The following is a 17,861-nucleotide window of genomic DNA, read 5'->3' as shown; positions in this document are numbered from 1 at the left end:
CTCGCTCTGTCACCCAGGGTGGGATACAGTGGTGCAATCACGGCTCACTGCAGCCTCAACCTCCCAGGCTCAAGCCATCCTCCCACCTAAGCCTCCCAAGTAGCTGGGACTCCAGGCAAACACCAACAGGCTTGGCTAATTTTTAAAATTTCTGTAGAGACTGGGCCTTGCTATGTTGCCCAGGCTGGTCTCAAACTCCAGGGCTCAAGTAATTCTCCTGCCTCGGCCTTCCAAAGTGTTGGGATTACAGGCGTGAGCCACTTCGCCCAGCCCAGTGTGTTTACTATCTGCTTAAATTATGTGATTTCAATAGCAGTTACAATTGCAATATACAGGTGCCATATACAGCAATTACAATGGCACAAACATAGCAGAATTCTTGGTAAGCCCACAATTCAAATACTCACAGCCGAAAGTGTGGACATATTGGTAGCCTGTTGGCTTCATGCAGCAAGTTGTCAACTGGAGATCAGTCAGCAGAGTTTTATGGTATTGAAGTTTGTGTTAACAATTCAGCAACACGATTTGTTGGTATGTCTCACAATGCGTTTCCTATTTTTGTCATCACATGTAAATGCTTTGTTGTATAGCTTTAATCAATGAGCCCATTTTACATTCAATTGTTTTTCTACTAAACTTGACAACAACATCTTGCCCTTGAAGAGCAGAGAGCATTTAACGAATGCTGTTGTACTTACTCTCAAAATGGTTTCTGTTCAGGGAAAATGATATATAGAGAGTGTCCCAGGGCAACCTAGAAATAAAAAACACAGCTAGGAATACAACAGATATCTTGGCTGCCCATGCAGAATCCTATCCAAGACCCTGTGTATTCATGAGATGAAACTGAATCAGCAACGAGAAGGGTGTCTCTGGAGATGGAGGTTTAAATTTAGAAATTCATCTATGGCCTTTCCCTTTATAAAGAAAGCCAAAACATGTGAGTTTTGAGTTTCTCCCACTGTTGTCAACATTTTTATCAGCTGAAGACTGAGTGAAGATGCCTTGATTTTTGTTTTTATTGATAACAACATCAATCTTCTAGAGGGCCCTTTGCATCTCCATAGCATTCTGCAAACATTAAACAAATTATAATAAAGGGTGTTACAAAAGCAGGTGTAATTTTTTTCAATAGCTTTTGTTCGTCATTTGGAAAAAATACATATCTTTCTCAGGTGTGATGACGTTAACTATCAGAAATATGCTGGCAAAAACCAAGATACTTTATCCACAAAGTGGATATATTTTAGCTCTTATTTACCCAATGCTTCTAGGGACTCAAAGGCCTCCAGGATCCTGGTGAATGAGATTGTTCTCTCACTTGTATTTTTTAAATAGAGGAGTCAGGACAAGAAAAAAGGATGACAAGCAATGACTTTTTGAGGGGTAATTGCACTATTAACAGCTTCTTTTGTATTCTTTCAGACTTTTTTTCCTAAGTGTTGCATATTTGTGTATACACACAAATATAATTGTTGACACAGATGAAAATTATACTGTGCATGCTGGTCTGCAATGTGTGTGTTTTTTTCTCTCTTGTGGATTAGGGCACCCTTGCATGTCAGTACCTGTTGATCCATCAGTGGCAGGAGAGTGTCTTGGGGAAGGGGTCACACTTCTAGCCATTCCTTTATTGAAAGACAAGACCCAGAGGTGCTGGATGACCCTGGCCAGAGGCTGATCTGTTTTCATGCTGATTTTCTTTTGGCTTCTGAAATAATGTTAAAGATACTCATTTTGGCCAAATGAAGACATACTTAGAAATAGTTTTTGATTTGAAAAAATATGTATCTTGGAAATACTGACAGTTTGAAATAAAAGACTAAAACTTTTCAGAGTAGCTCTAACTGAAGCCTTATCCCCTAAACCCCCCTAGCATAAGCATTATATATAGCTCATAGGAGCTCACACAGCCTATTTACATAATACCGGACTCTCAGGACCTGTCTAAGTTATGTCAAGTGTCTCTTCTCAACCTTTTCAAATGCAGAGGTGAGTTTTAAAAAATGTTAATCCATCTGAAATAGATATCTGCTGTTCACTTAAAAACAAAGAAACTCTTATTCAACACCAAATCTTGAATTTTTTTATCTTTTATGACAAGCAGCAATAAGTTGCAAAGTTCTGTGAAATAAAGGCAAGTACCATATCATTGTGCCTAGTCCAGTGATAGGAATGTTCTGGGGAGAGAATGTTCCAAATGCGTTGCCCAGAGAGCAAGAAAGATAAGCAAGGAATGGGGAACAGCCATCCAGTGAAAAATCTCAACATGAAACAAGTGAAAGAGATTCTGGCCTGGGATGTGTGACAAATCTCCAAATTTCTCTTCAGAAAATGTAAGAATCCGATTTTACAACTAGGCTGTCACTTAAGAAAAGAAGGAGGAAGAGGAGAGGGAGAGGAAAGGGGGAGGAGAAAGAGAGGAGGGAGAAGGAAGAGGAAGGATGAGGAAGGACGTGGGCATTGCTGTGGGAGGCCCCTCGGCCCTGGCAAGGAGTGAGTATTGATTCTGGAGGCCTCCAGGAAGCATAATGTGCACAGTCATGGGTAATATATTTATTTATGATTTATACCCAGCTGACTTCCAAAAAGGTTTGAGGTGGCTCACCTGCTAGTGAGTTAATGCTTCCTACACACACTGAGCAACTCTAAGCAAGTGAAAGAGCAGAAACTCTGTGAGTCATCATCCAACTGTTTAAGTGATAAGAGGGAGAAGGGAGCTATTTCTTCTGAATAAGATGCCCACAGACATTGTCAACACTCACCAGTAAGAATCTCGACACAGTAAAGCTCATTTAGTTGACATCACTAGGCAATCATTGACTTTTTCAGATAATTGAAGCTTCTCCCTTTAGATGTCAGTCTTCTAAAAATGCAGTATTTTACATGGAAACCTCTGTATAATGAAGATTATATGCTTCCTTCTCTTCATAGACAGATGATACTGTTTGAAAAAAAATTTTGGGAGGTAAATGTCAGGTTTTTTTCTAGATCTATGGTTTATTTTTATAACAGTTTTATTGAGCTATAATTCACATACTGTAAAATTCACTTTAAGTGTACAATTCAATTGTTTTTCATATAGTCACGAAATTGTGCAACCATCACCATTGTCTAGTTTTAAAACATTTTTAGCACTCCAAAGAGAAACCCTGTAACCATTAGCCACTCCCTCTTCTTCCCCTCCAACCCCTGGCAGAGACTAATCTACTTCCTGTCTCTGTGGATTTGTGTTTTCTGGCTATTTCTTATAAATGGAATCATATAATATGTGGTCTTTTGTGTCTGGTTCCTGTCATTGAGCAAGTGTTTTCAAGATTCATCATGTTGTAGCATGTGTCAGTTCTTCCTTTCTTTTTATTCCAGTATAATAGTCCATTGTACGGCAATACCACATTTTGTTATCCATTCACCAGTTACTGGACCTTCGGGTTGTCTCTACTTTTGGGCTATTATGAATAGTGCTATAATGAACATTCATGGGTAAGTTTTTGTGCAGACATGTTTTCAACTTTCTTGGGTGTACACCCAGAAGTGGATACTGATTGGAATTCAATCTCCTTTTTTTTTTTTTCTGATGGAAATGGAGCCTTCATTCTAACAGTCATGGAATGCAATGGTTGGTTGCCCCTGAAGTCTGGATTCCCAAGTGGTTGAGCTTTTTGAACTTATCTGACTATATTTTTATACTTTATCAGATTTCTTTTGTTCAGTCAGCTATGACTTTTTGCTTTTCAGAGTGAGTCTGTCTCTGGGAGGACCCAACATTTCAATCTGGGCTCTTGAGCTCTGGAGAGGACAACCTGTTACCACTGTTATCGAAAGCAAGGGTAAATGGGCTCTGAATGAAAGACTGGGTTGCTCTCCTAAGAGAAAAACATAAGCATAAACATCAGTGTTGACTTAGTAGTATTTTTAGATGTTTTTGGGTGCATATTTTTGTATTCTTAGCCATGCTTAGGACATTTGAAGTTGTTAGGTATAATACTTTCAGTAAGGTGTTATTGTATAAAGACTCTACTTTCAGATAATGGGGATTAAAACGTTACTTTTGCTGACATATAGGAAAGCCTATTTAAGAGCTGCTGAACTGATTCGAGTAAGAAACCTTTTCACAGAGATCTTTTTTGGTAGGAAGGGGGCTGCAGAGGAACCCTGACTCCTCAGCTGCCATCTGAAAGCACAGTTTAAAAGATCCCCCTTATCACTTCAGATTATATCACTACAAAACTCAAATAACTGGAGTTTAAACAAGATAGAGGTTTCCCTTTTTGTTCATGTTAGGTAGGTTGGCCAGGGATTCAGTCATCAATAACCCAGGATCCTTCCAGCTTTCTGTTTGGCCATCCTTAACACATGGCTTCCATCTTTGGGCTCATTCAAGATTGCAACAAGGCTGCTAGAGCACCCAGCATCATACCCATTTTCCAAGCAGCAGGAAGAAGGAATGGCAAATACAAATGGTGTACCTCCTGGCTGAGTCAGCCCCCTTTTAAATAGTTTTCCTTGAAGTCCTACCCAATAACATCCTCTCACATCTCCTTGGGCTCCTGGCTTCCAGGGAAGCTGAGAAATGGCAGTTTGGGGATCTGTTAGTAAGGAAGAATGAGGGAAAGGAAAAGGAACAAAAGATGTAGGTAGGGCACCCAGAGTCTCTGCCCTGGCCACCTAGGCTCTCATGCTTTAAGATGGATGCAACAGAGGTGGACACCACATGGTGTTGCACACAGAGCTGGGCAGAGCTTTGCAAGAGCCCATCCCTTTACCACTTGAAAGTTTGTAGGCTTAGATTGTTGAAAACTAAATAGACCTTTTTCTGAAGAAGACATAAAAATGGCCAACAGCTATATAAAAAGGTGCTCGGCCAGGGCAGAGACTCTGGGTGTCCTACCTACACCTTATGTTCCTTTTCCGTTCCCTCTTTCTACCTTACTAACAGATCCCCAATGTACGCAGCTTAAAAACTGCCATTTCTCAGCTTCCCTGGAAGCCAGGGGCCCAAGGAGATGTGAGAGGATGTTATTGGGTAGGACTTCAAGGAAAACTATTACTGATCATCAGGGAAATGCAAATCAAAACTATATGGGATATCATCTCACACCTGTTAAGAGGGCTATTATCAAAAAGACAAGAGACAATAAGTGAAGGTGTGGAGAACAGGGAACTTTTGTGCACTCTTGGTGGGAATGTAAACTGGCACAATCATTATGGAAAACAATATGGAGGTTCTTCAAAAAATTCAAAGTAGAACTGTCATATGACCCAGCAATCCTATTGCTGGGTATATACCCAAAGGAAATGAAATCAGCATTTTGTAGAGCTTTCTGCACCCCCGTGTTCATTGTAGCATTATTCACAGTAGTCAAGATATGGAAACAACCAAAGTATCCACTGATGGATAAAGGGATAAAGAAATTGTGGTATATATACAATGAAATATTATTCAGCCTTAAAAAAGAAGGTAATCTTGTCATTTGTGACAACATGGATGAACCTAGAGAACATTATTCTAAGTGAAATAAGCCAGATATAGAAAGAAAACTACTGCATGATTTCACTTATATGTGGAATCTTGTAAAGGTGGAATATATAGAGGCAGAGAGTAGAACAGGGGTTACAAGGGCCAGGGAGCGGGAGAAAATGGTGAGGTATAGGTCAAGGGGTCCAAACTTGCAGTTACATGGGATGAATAGGTCTAGAGATCTAATGTGCAGCATGAGGACTATTGTTAGTAACATTGGATTGTAGATGGAAAATTTGCTAAGGGAGTAGATGTTGGGTGTTTTTACCCACATACATAAAGATTATTGAGAGGAATGTTTTTGGTAATGGTTGAATTGTCTATCTCAGTTCTTCAGTGAGACTTTCTGGAGGATATGGGATTTCAGAAGAATGTTAAAGGAAGTGATGCTATCAGCAGACCCTCTTTAGGTATTATGGGAATGGCTGGCTTAGAGCCAGCATGGTATCACCTACACTTGGTTTCCATTGATGTACTCATGAATGCCATTGGTCAGGGGAATTCAGGGCAATGGTTGAAGGTTTGGTGTGTAGTCAGTGACTGGGCAAGAAAAGAAGCTGCCTAACTTCTATGTAAATCTCAAGCCTGAACTACACTTCTTATTAGCTATAACCAACTGACCTCTCCCTGCTCCTAGACTCTTACTTCAGCATTCCTAACTTTTTGATTACTTACATCAATCTATGTATCCTTCTAGAAAGTCAATACTTAATGTAATAACCAATGATAATAATTGATTATCATGAGACCTTCAAGCAATGTAAAAAATAATTGGATAATAATAACCAATAATTAATAATAATCCACTCATGCTAGCAGACTTTAAAGGAAAATAGAGATCTCCCTGTGCCCTTTTTTTCTCCTTAGCTAAAAATGCTGAGTTTTTTTTTTTAAAGAATACAAGCTATAAAATAAGCAACTTGAATCTAGGATCCTATTTACATTGCATCTTGAAGGTGTTGGTTATTTAAGTTATAACAGCGTTATTTGAGTTTGATTCAAAAATCTATGTTCGATTTTAATGGGAACCTGATGTTTGTGATCGAATAGCTTAGCAAATTTCTATGCTTGCTTAGAGCTTTGTACTGCGGGGTGATCTTGTTCAAGTCACTTAAATGCTTTGGAAATAAAGGGGTTGGGACAAATAGTGTCGTCCATCACAAAGTTTTTATGAATCTAGGGTTTTTGTTTTTTTAAAAAAATACTGACTAACAGGTCACCTCGTTCTAGCTCTGATCATGATGACCCTGTGATGTAATCCTGAAGCAACCCTACAGTTACTGAAGTCACAGGATCCTGCTGCTGTCCATCTTCATAGCATTGCCATTTACGTAAAATTAGGCTCAATCCTGATTATTTATAAGAATATGACTCAAATACTGCATGTTCTCATTTATAAATGAGAATGAAATAATATGTACACGTGGGCATAGAGTTGAAATTGATAGACATTGGAGACTCAGAAGAGTGGGAGGGTGTGAAGGAGGTGAAGGATGAAAAATTACTTAATGAATACAATGTGAACTATTTGAGTGATAGTTACAGCAAATGCCCAGACTTCACCACTACCCGGTATATCCATGAAACAAAACTGCACTTGTACCCCTTAAATTAACACCAAAAGAAGATTCCCAGAAAGGTATCCAGACATGTGAAAAGGGCAACTGTATCTTCAACTTTCAAAGTTACTTGATTTGAATGCTTGAGAGAATCTGATTCATAATTAAAATAATTTATTTGAATCAGGTCTTTCACATTTCATGGGTAGTCTTCACTCCTGCCTCCCCAGGGACTGTGATCTCGCCATTATTTCTCTTTTCTCCTGTTACTGTCAAACTTTCTATCAATAAACATGCTCAAATCTGTTCTACTCTTAAAATAACACCCTCCCCTAAGCTTATCTTGCCCCTCTTGTTAAAATATCAATTTCTCAAAACAAAAACAAAAGTACTATGCTTACCGGTTCACTGCCTCATCTCCATATCAAATTTTAAATCTCTTGCTACCTGGCTTCTACGTTGACTACTCCACTGATAATGTTCCACAAAAGCCAACAGTTGCCAAACTCCTATGAACATTTTCCAGTTCCTTAGCCTATTGACCCTCTCCACTGCCCTGAATTCAGTCAACAACTTCTTCCTCCATGGAGCTCTGTGTACACTTGACTGCTGCTGTCTTATACTCTTCTGATTCGCTTTGTACATCTCTGACTTTTGTGTCTTTAGTAGACTGTTCTCTGCCTTCCCTTTAAATGCTGAGTGACATCAGATAAGCCATTTAATTTTTTATCCACAAAAAGTAGAGGAGTTGGAATGGATCATCTCTAAGGTCCCTTCGAGCCCTGGTGTGCTTTTAGTCATATTATCAGGAGTCAGAATTCACTGCTCCAGGTACAGACAACTCTTGTGTTTCATGTAAAAAGAAGTATAATGAGAAATGATTAACATTTGAGCTGCATTTCCGCAAAGCCGTATTGTTGACTGCTGCTTTTTCAAAGAAGTCATAAAAGCTGAAAACTAATACAGCATAATTCAGCAGTTTATCACCATGTGGGAGAATGACTAATGTGAGTCATGGTTTCAGTATAACGAACACTGACCATTCATTTAGGACTTCAGTGCTGTGACATAGAGGGAGAATGACGTCAATGAGGTTCTTTGCCCACATGGTCTCCAGACATGACCACACATTGAACATGCAAAGTCCTAGAGCGCTGGGGAGATTGAAACCACCATCATACTGATGCTGCTACTAGGGACATCAACTTTGACCAGACATGGTAACTGACGACAAAAATTTTGGCCTTTGACACTGCTGAGTCAAACGGAAAATGGAGTAGAAGAAAGTTTGATGGAGCTGCTGTTTGTCTACCTTGTGGCAGTATTTGCAGATGCTCTCATTTGTGAATACACAGAGTTCCTCCAGTAAATATTTAATTAAACTGAAACTCGACATCCTAGGTACTGAAAGCTGAGTCAGATTTGTGTGATTTTAGGGTGTAGGATATAATTATTTAATTTTGTTGAGGAGCTGATAATTGAGAATGAAGGTCAAAATATCCCAAAAATGTTCAATTGTAAGTGGATTATGTGTTGGCAGGAGAGACCATAAACACAGTGTCACTATTAGGTTAGATCATATTCTCAACTTAACTAGACAAGAATACAAAATATAATTGGTAGGTCATTCACTAAACCATCCTGCAAGGGCATTGCCTTGGCTACAGCAGTAACCATAACCAACTTGATGGTGGATATGTTGGGCCACTGAGAAAATCGACAGGGCCCTGTGCTTAAGGTGTTCTTAGCAGACACCTAGAGCAACCTTGTCAGCATCTGTGTCTGGGCCCATCCTTCCGCTGCCCCATGATGGGTTGCACAGAGCTGCCGCCTCTTGGCATCTCTGCCTAGGAGCCTTGGAATACCAGATGGGCTTCCAATGGCAGGCCTAGTCTTTAGATTAGCTTTGTCTGCACAGCTATGATCCTGGCTTTTTGCCTAACCTTTCAGAGCAGAGGACATCCAGCAAGACTCTCCTGGGAAGCAGATTAACTTCTGTGAGTCACTGCTCTTCCATCTCATTTATGATTCATGACCTGAGCTGTATTTTTAGCTTTTATTTATTTGGGTCTGAGAAGTGGGCTGGGTGGAAGTGTAGTTGGGAAACTCATGAAAGAATAAGAAGAAATTGGCGTCACATCTAAGCGAGGGTGGCCTGAAACTTGGTTACAGTCCTCAGACATTCAGCATAGTGTATTGAGAGCCTACTGTGTGTCACATATTGTGCTGGACTCCAAGAACAAAAGGGAAAATGAGAACCAGCTTCTGCCCTCTAAGAGCTCATTGAATTGTGTGGGCAGATGGTTAATTGGATGATTAATGAAATGTAGCCCCTGCTGATATCTCAGCCATATCCCTGGACATTAGTCATATTGAAGTATTTGGTATTTTTGGACCACCCCTTATTTTTGCCCTTACCTCTTGCACATGCTGTGCCCATTGTCTGGAAATTCCTCCACCATCACCTCTCATTGCCTGCCCTTCATAACTCGCCCCAGCGTCCTTCCTCTGACCCTTCTTCCCTGATTCCCTGAGGCTGGTCTGGAGCCTCTCTGACACACTCCCATAGCCCCTTGCATCCCAGTGCTCATCACACTCCTATGGAGCGCCATTGATTAAGGTCCCTGCACAGTAATTGAGGCTTGTTTATCAGCTCCCCATACTGAGGCAGGTAGAACTGAAGACAATCAGGAACAGCAGTATAGTCATCCCACTGTAATGATGAACATATGCTGAGACCTTTGTATGTGCCAGTCACTGTGCTTAGCACCACACATGCATTACCTGATTGGATCCTCACAATAACCCTATGAAACACATAAACTATTGTTCTTGTTTTATGGATGAGGAAACTGAGGCTTTGAGAATTAAAGTTATTTGTCCAAGGTTTCACAGCCAGTACGTGTAAAGCTGAGATTCAAACCCAGGCCCTTCTGATTCTCAAAGCCCATGCTCCTAGACTGTATGCCATATTCCTTCTCCCCTCTCATGGTTATTGTATCAGTCAGGATAGGGCAGGTCATTCTATGTTAACAAGTAATGCCAACATCTCAGTGGCTTAGACAAAAAGGTTTACTTCTTGCTCATGTCATGGTCCGAGCACATTGGCTGGGGCATCTGCTGTATGTTATTCTCACTCAGCAAAAAGGCTGAAGGTGGCTTTCTATCTGTGCCTCCCCAATTGCAAGAGAAAGGACATGTGACAAATCACTCCCACAGTGATATCATTGGCCGAATCAGGTGCTGTACCCAACTTCAAAGGGGCAGGAGAAGTGCAATGCTGCTGTGTGCTGGGAAGATGAAGAATTGGAAATATTTGTGGAACGGTACTAATGACTCCCACAATACAAAAGAAAGGAGTGAGGGAAATAGAGAAATGAAAATAATAGAGGATAAAGTGTTCAGAGGAATAAGGGCCTTCCAGGGAATAGGAGAAAGCTTGCCTTTTTAAACCATAGGTCTCCAGTTAAACGGCTGCTGGGATCAATTATTCAGTTGTTCTTCCTGTAAGTTGCATTGTTAAGGCTTCTTCTCTTCTGAATGTATTAATACTTTGACACAACCTGGGATTTTGCTGGATCTATCAGGAGAGAGTAGTCAATTGCTATTACAAAACATCTTAATCTGAGTAGGGTCAGCTTTTGCAAGCCAGTATTCCAATTCTCATTTTCATTTCGGAGAACCAGTCCCACCAGGTTAAAGACTTTCTCCAACAACAGAGAGTAGCATTCCTGGTTTCCTAGGATTAGGCCTACATGGTGATAAAGATCTTAAAAGTCTCTTAGGAGGCTTGGCTACAGTGCCAACACTTGCTCCTCCCCGCAAAAGACTTGGGTTAAAGCTATTGGTTGCAACTTTTAGATCTCAATAACAACATTAAAATTGAATATAAAATACAAGGCCTCAAGGAATTTCTGCAAAGATATATTGGGAATATTTTGGTCAAGGAGAATTCACCGTTGTACAAAGCAATTCCTGTTTTCAGAGAACACAGAATGGCTGACACAGTATAAAACTGAGCACAATACTTACTGTCTTAGGTATTGGATGCAGCAATCTTTTGTCAAGTCACTATAAGTTATTGGATAGTGTAAAACATTTGCTACATACAGGGGTTGTCTGGCCTTACCACTCCTCTTTCTCTTCATGATATGGATAGATAGATCTATATGTGTATTATTTATATCTCTATCTATCTATCTATCTATCTATCTATCTATCTATCTATCTATGTGTCTGTGTGATAGAGTACTATCTTCTATATATAATATATGCAAGGCATGAGTCTCCCCTAGATGGTAAACTTCTTTAGGTCAGGATCGGAAAGATGACATGGAACAGCAGCTTTAAACATCAAAAGATCTGGGTTATTCTCCATTAATCAGCCCTGTGACTCTTGAGCACAGCATTGAACCTCTGAGAATCAGTTTTTCCATCTGTAAAAAGGCATCAGGGCCAGGCGTGGTGGCTCAGACCTGTAATCCCAGGTTTTTGGGAGGCCAAGGTGAGAGAATTCACTTGAAGTGAGGAGTTTGAGATCACCTGGGCAACATAATGAGACCCCATCTCTACAAAAATAAAAATAAAAAAGGAGATCACCTACCTATTCAGGTCTCATCACAGTTTCATTATGAGGCTCAAATGATATAATACTTTTGCGACTAAACAGAATATACATCTCTATTTGTGCAAAGGCACATGATGAATCACATAGCACAACTTTTCTGGCCATGCCCAGCAGCAGAAAGAGCCATTTGTGGCTCCCAACACATTGGTGTAAAGTTATTCCTAGGAGAAGTCATAGCTCTCCAAATGCTATCAGTATAGTTTTTGCCACAGGGATGACCTCCAGCTGGGTGACTTTGTCTGTGCTCAAGTCTGTAGGCAGAGATGAAACCTCTCTTAGTTCAAACAAATTCCCCTGTGTAAGGGATTTTCAATGGGAGTAGGACTGTTGGAATGAGACAGTACATAGCTGCCTCACGGGATGCAGATGGTTGTCATACTTTCCTTGCCCACAGATGACCAGTACTTTTTTCAGAGAAATTGAAAGATTTCTTTGGACAATTGTAGGCAGCTCATTTCCCAGTGTATTAGTCTGTTCTCACATTGTTATAAAGAACTACCCAAGACTGGGTCATTAATAAAGAAAAGAGGTTTAATTGACTCACAGTTCTGCAGGCTGTACAGGAGCCATGGCTGGGGAGGTCTCAGGAAACTTACAATCATGGTGGAAGGCAAAGGGGAAGCAGGCACAAGCTTGGTTCAGCTTACTTTAAGCGGACTGGGAATAGAATCTTGGGGATGGAGACAATGGAGACTCTCTCCATCTGCTGGGGTGGAGTCCACTTAGCAGGGAAAGACATCGAAGGAGATGGATTGGGCCAAGTGAAAGGCTTTGCTCACTTCACAACCCTGCCTTTTGACTTGGGCAGGAACCCTGGAGAAAGGAGATCTGCCTTTTGTAAGAGCAAACAGAACACACAACTTACTATTAGAAGGTTCCATCGTTATAATGACTAATGACTTACAGGGTTGAAATTTCCTGGTTGTTGAGTCTCCAATGTGAATGACTGAACAAATCCAGATTTTCAGGCTTTTAAACCTGGAGCAGAAGGAGGAGTTTTCAGCAAAAATAGATGTTTCTATTTTAAAAATATATATTCAAATTCAATCAACCAAAATATATTTGGAGGGTCTACTATGTTCTAGGTGTTGGGGATACAACACTCCCTGTTCTCTGCTACTAATCTTCTAGTAGGGGAGACAGATAGCCAACAAATACATAATAATTTCAGCAGTAAGTGCTCTGTAGAAAAGCAAATAAAAGAGGACACAGAATAGTGAAGAAATGGAAAGTGTTAGCACCTTTATGCTCCTTGATGCTATAGATTATAATATACATATTATTATATAATGCTATTATTATAGCATTCAAAGGTGCTATAAGATTATTCCTAAGAAAAGTCCGTTTTTGCCAAGACCACTTGCACCTCCTCCTTAAAGTTGTGTTCCAAGCAGCTCATCTCTCTGTCCATCTCACTGAGCTCTCTCTAAACTTGCTTCCCTATTCCAGGGCAGGAGATGCCCTACTCCCGCTTCTTCAAAACCCTGCCCAGGTTTTCATTTGATTGGTGTTACACTAAAAGGGGAAGGATTTTCCATTCCCTTCTTACACGACCCACATTCCAGCTCAAACCTGGCACAAGGAGGGCTTTGGCCAGCTTAACTTCAGGATTATTTTAATTGACAATATACCCCTTTAAGAAGGAACACATTACAAATGGTCCAGTTAGGATGCAGGTTATTTTGAGACTTCCTGAACATCATTTCTTGGCTAGTTCATTCAAATAAATCATTTAATTGCACTGTAAGAGGTGCTGGGCATAATGATGACTAAGACTCACTCCCTGCCCTTGAGAAGCCCATAGTCCAGCAGGAGGCATAGACATTGGAACAGATAAATTGCAGCACCACAGGGTGACTGCAACCTAGGGGTGTGACAAAGGTGTTCTGGGATCCCAAAGGAAGAGCAATGAACTCCACCTCAAGGCTACAGAATATTTCAAAAAACTGTAGTCACTGCTGATGCCTCATTCATTTATCCATTATTCATCCATTCATACATATTTCCTGAATAGTTTATATCAAGGATCACACACTGCCTGCAGATATTGCTTGTTTGGATTCCTTTTGTTGTTGTTGCTTCTTGGTAATTGATTTATTGAGATGTAATTCACATACCATATAATTCACCCATTTAAAGTATACAATTCAATGGTTTTTTAATATATTCACAGAGTTGTGCAACTATCACCAATTACAGAACATTTTTATCAACCCCCAAAGAAACCTTGTACCTGTTAGAGGTCACACTCCATTCCCCAAAAACCACATAGCCCTACTTTCTAGCTCTACAAATTTGTCTATTCTGGACATTTCACATAAATAAAATAAAATCAGTCTTTTATGATTGTCTTTTTTCACTTAGAATTAATATTTTCAAAGTTCATTCATGCTGCAGCATGTATCAATACTTGATCGCTTTTTATTGCCAAATACTATTCCATTGCATGACATACTACCTTTTATTTGTCCATTCATCAGTTGATGGATATTTGGGTTATTTCTACCTTTTGGCTATTATAAATAATGCTGCTATGAACATTTAGGTGCAAGTTTTTGTGTGGACATATGCTTTCAATTTTATTGGGTATATTTCTAGGAGTGGAATTGCTGGGTCATATGGGTAATTCTATGTTTAACTGTTTGAGAAACTGCCAAGCTGTTTCCCCTAGTGGTGTTACCATGTTGTATTCCCACCAGCAATGTATGATGGTTCCAGTTTCTCCACATCTTCACCAACATTTATTTTCAGTTTGCTGGTTTGTATTTTAAATTATAGCCATTCCAGAGGGTGTGAAGTTGTACCTCACTGTGGCTTTGATTTGCATTTCCCAATGGTAAATTATATTGAACATCTTTTCATGTGCTTATTGTCTATTTGTATATATTTCTTGGAGAAATGTCTGTTCAGTTCTTTTGTCCATTTTTAAATTGGGTTATTTGTCTTTTTATCATTGGGTTGTAAGAGTTTTTTAATGTATTTTAGATGCAAGTTTCTTAGCAGATATGTCATTTGCAAATATTTTCTCCCATTCTCTGAGTGGTTTTTTCACTTTCTTCTTAGTGTCATTTGAAGCACAAAAGAATTTAATTTTTATGAAGTCCAACCTATATATTTATTTCCTTTGGTTGCTGGTGCTTTCGGTGTCATATCTAAGAAACCATTGCCTATTCTGAGGTCCTGTGATTATGACTGTTTTCTTTAAGGAGTTTTACAGTTTTAGCTCTTATATTTAGGTCTTGTAACCATTCTGAGTTTATGTTTTGCTTATGGTATGAGATAGAGGTCCAACTTTTATATACAATTGCTCTGGTGCCATCGGTTGAAAACAATGTCATTTTTCCATTGAATTCTTTTGTCACCTTTGTCAAAATTCAATTGACAGTAAATGCAGGGGTTTACTTTTGGACTCAGTTCTATTCTACTAATCTATATGTCTATCATTATGCTAGTACCACATTATCTTGATTGTGTAGCTGAGCAGTAAGTTTTGAAATTGGGACATGCGGATTCTCTAACTTTGTTCTTTTTCAAGATTGTGCTGGTTATTTTGAAATTACAGATGAATGTCAGGAAATTACACATGAATTTGAAGTTAGACATGAATTTTAGGATCAGTTTGTCAATTTGTACAAAGAAGCCATCTGAGATTTTGATAGGGATTCTGCTGAAGTTTTAGATCAGCTTTTGGGAGTATTACTATCTTAACATTATTAAGTTTTCTGATCCATGAACATGGGATGTTTTTTCCATTTATTTCACTTTTCTTAAATTTCCTTCAACAATGTTTTTCAGTTTTCAAAGTGTAAGCTTATCCTATCAGATTTATTCATAAGTATTTTATTCTTTTTGATCACATATTGCAAATGAAATTATTTTCTTAATTTTGTTTTGGATTGTTCATTGTGACTTGCTGGAATTAAAAATCAGGAAAACTTACAAATAAAGTCTGATTTCTGACCTCTTTTGAAAAATCACAGGGTCTGGTTTCCCAGATGGTAACGAGGGACTGGAATGATTGGTTTGGGCCTTGTTCTTTTTGTAGGCCATATGGTTCCAAGTTTGTCCTAATCTAGCTACTTTCTTATATCTAGTTTACTTTGCTCATTAATATCTTTATTATTAAGCACTGAGTTTTTGGCCTTTATGATTATTCTTTTGGGAAATTTAAGTTAGATGAGATTCAATTTGAAAGAGCAGTTAATATTATTTAAGTCCTTAATGTGATTTTTTTTATATGCATATCCCATTCTTTCTTAAAAGTTACCTCAAGCCATATCTTACTTGCTCATCTCAAGAATATTGTTGATCCAGGCTTTACACAGAGGATACAAAGAAGAAACAGACACCATTCTTGCTATAAAAGAGATACGGACACATTGACCAAGAAGTAGTTCCATATTAGCAAAGGAAGTTTTATTAAAGGTCTGCTAGAAGTTCATACAGAGTATAGAAGAGGGCCCAAAGAAGATCAAGGCTGCAGGTAGGGATGGGGAGGAAGAGGAGAGATCTCATAAAAGAAGTGACTTTGCATTTCCTTGTGAATGATGAGTAGGTGTTAATAAGATGGACATGGATAAGAAGGACATTTCAAGAGGGAGGAGCAAAGGAAGGGGTTGTTCTGAATTTTGAAGCATGGTGAGTTCAGGCAAATGACCAGAGTGCAAAATGAGAGGGCAAAAGCGGGGAGGAAAAGGCTAAAGAGTTCAGCAAGAGCCAAATCATGAGAGGCCCTGTACATCATTCTAAGAAAGCTGGATCTTTTCCTGAAGACTGGTGTTTTCTCCAAAGTGTGATTCCTGGACAACCTGTAGTAGAAGGACCTGATTGCTTATTAAAATGCAGTTTCACAGTCTTACTGAAGAAGAATTTCTCAGAGCCTGGGAATTTTATTTTTAAAATCTGATTTGTAAGTTTCCCTGGTGATTCTTAAGTTCTCTAAAGTTTGGGAAGCTCTGCTTTAAGGATGGGGGTCTTGGGAGTGTTTTAAGTGAGAATGATTGGGGGATCGGACGGAATGATAACATGCCATATATGTGTTTTAGTAATGTGCTGGCTGCACTGGGAAAGGCAGATTCAAAAGGTGGGACACCAGAAACCCCATCTTAGGGAGGGCCATATTCTAAAGTCAACAGTAGAATAAAACTCAGAATAAAGAATACACTGGATCATCCTTGAAATCTCCAACTCCCACGCATCTGGATGATCAATTGTCAGAATCAATGTCTTGTGTTTCTGTTTGCATTTATGGAGAGATACTCTTTCTCTGGGGCAGAGTATGTCTCCAAAAATGCAAACAGAAACACAAGACATTTATTATTGCAAACAGAAACACAAGATATTATTTAACTCTCCATAAATTCAGATACTCTTTCTCTGGGGCAGATAGTTACCCTACTCTCTGGCAAGTAGGGTTGAAAGACTGAGGAGATAACAAAGGGGCTAATCTCTCGCTTTCTGCCTGCCAAATGGATGCAGTTGAATTCATATGCTTTGCCCATGAATATGATGAGACCCCAGTATTGCAATTGAGAGAAAGAATGTGCCTAAACTTGGATAGTAAATGCTGGGGGTAGTGTGCAGAGTTCAGGGAAGAAGACAGGGAAGTTATGACGATGATAGGGAGATTGAAAGGATGCGGCTTACCTCTTGATTGGTTGATGGATTTGAAAAAAAAGTAAGAGTTGACTTTTCTGGTTTATGTAATTAGGTAGATAGTGATACTATTGGTTTAGATCAGAAATGTAAGTAGAGGAATAATTTGAATGTATTGAATTTGAGATGCAATTAGAATATTCATGTGCCAATACACATCTGAAGGTGGGAGAAAACCTGGGCTAAAAATGTGTGTGGCATGAGCATGAGGCAGTAATTGAAAGCAAAGGAGTGTACATGCTAGAGACTGATTTTATTAGACTAGAGTAGAACCTAGGAATCAGAATTTTTAATACTTCCCAAGTGATTCTAATATGCAGTCAGGGTTGAGAATCACTGGTATAGGGAGAGAAGGAACCATTGTTTTTAAAAAATAAGAAACTAGCAAAGGAGACTGAGAACGAATAGTCAGAGAAGATGAGGAATTGGAGAAAATGTTCTCAGGAAAGCTAAAGAAGAGAGTTCAGAGGAAAATGAAGGGATTGAGTAAAGGTCGACA

At 39.3% G+C, this 17,861-nt stretch overlaps 1 protein-coding gene across 2 annotated transcripts in view, besides 1 other annotated feature; it reads left to right on the top strand.

Annotated features, from left to right (window-relative positions):
• The window catches only part of SHC4 (SHC adaptor protein 4), a 140,179-nt gene that overhangs the window by 15,024 nt on the left and 107,294 nt on the right, over positions 1-17,861 (top strand). The window contains exon 1 of one of the 2 annotated variants that reach the window (XM_005254375.4): positions 2,165-2,336. The exons of the other annotated variant lie outside the window; for it this stretch is intronic. Within the exon in view, the coding sequence (XP_005254432.1) occupies positions 2,301-2,336 (36 nt within the window). The 5' untranslated portion in view covers positions 2,165-2,300. Of the gene's footprint in view, positions 1-2,164; positions 2,337-17,861 lie in introns of those variants that run through there. 2 annotated transcript variants of the gene reach the window in all.
• Positions 2,040-3,239: an enhancer, noted in NCBI's record as "CDK7 strongly-dependent group 2 enhancer chr15:49237854-49239053 (GRCh37/hg19 assembly coordinates)". NCBI's record gives its function as "activates an origin of replication core promoter dependent on BRD2, BRD4, P300/CBP, MED14 and CDK7 cofactors, with strong dependence on CDK7, by STARR-seq in HCT116 cells {active_cell/tissue: HCT116}" and the evidence as "EXISTENCE:reporter gene assay evidence [ECO:0000049][PMID:35650434]".

This window comes from Homo sapiens, chromosome 15 (assembly GCF_000001405.40).
Source record: "Homo sapiens chromosome 15, GRCh38.p14 Primary Assembly".
In the NCBI taxonomy this organism is placed as follows: Eukaryota; Metazoa; Chordata; class Mammalia; order Primates; family Hominidae; genus Homo; species Homo sapiens.
The sequence above is the reverse complement of the archived record's forward strand: the minus strand, read 5'-3'. Positions and strand labels throughout refer to the sequence as shown.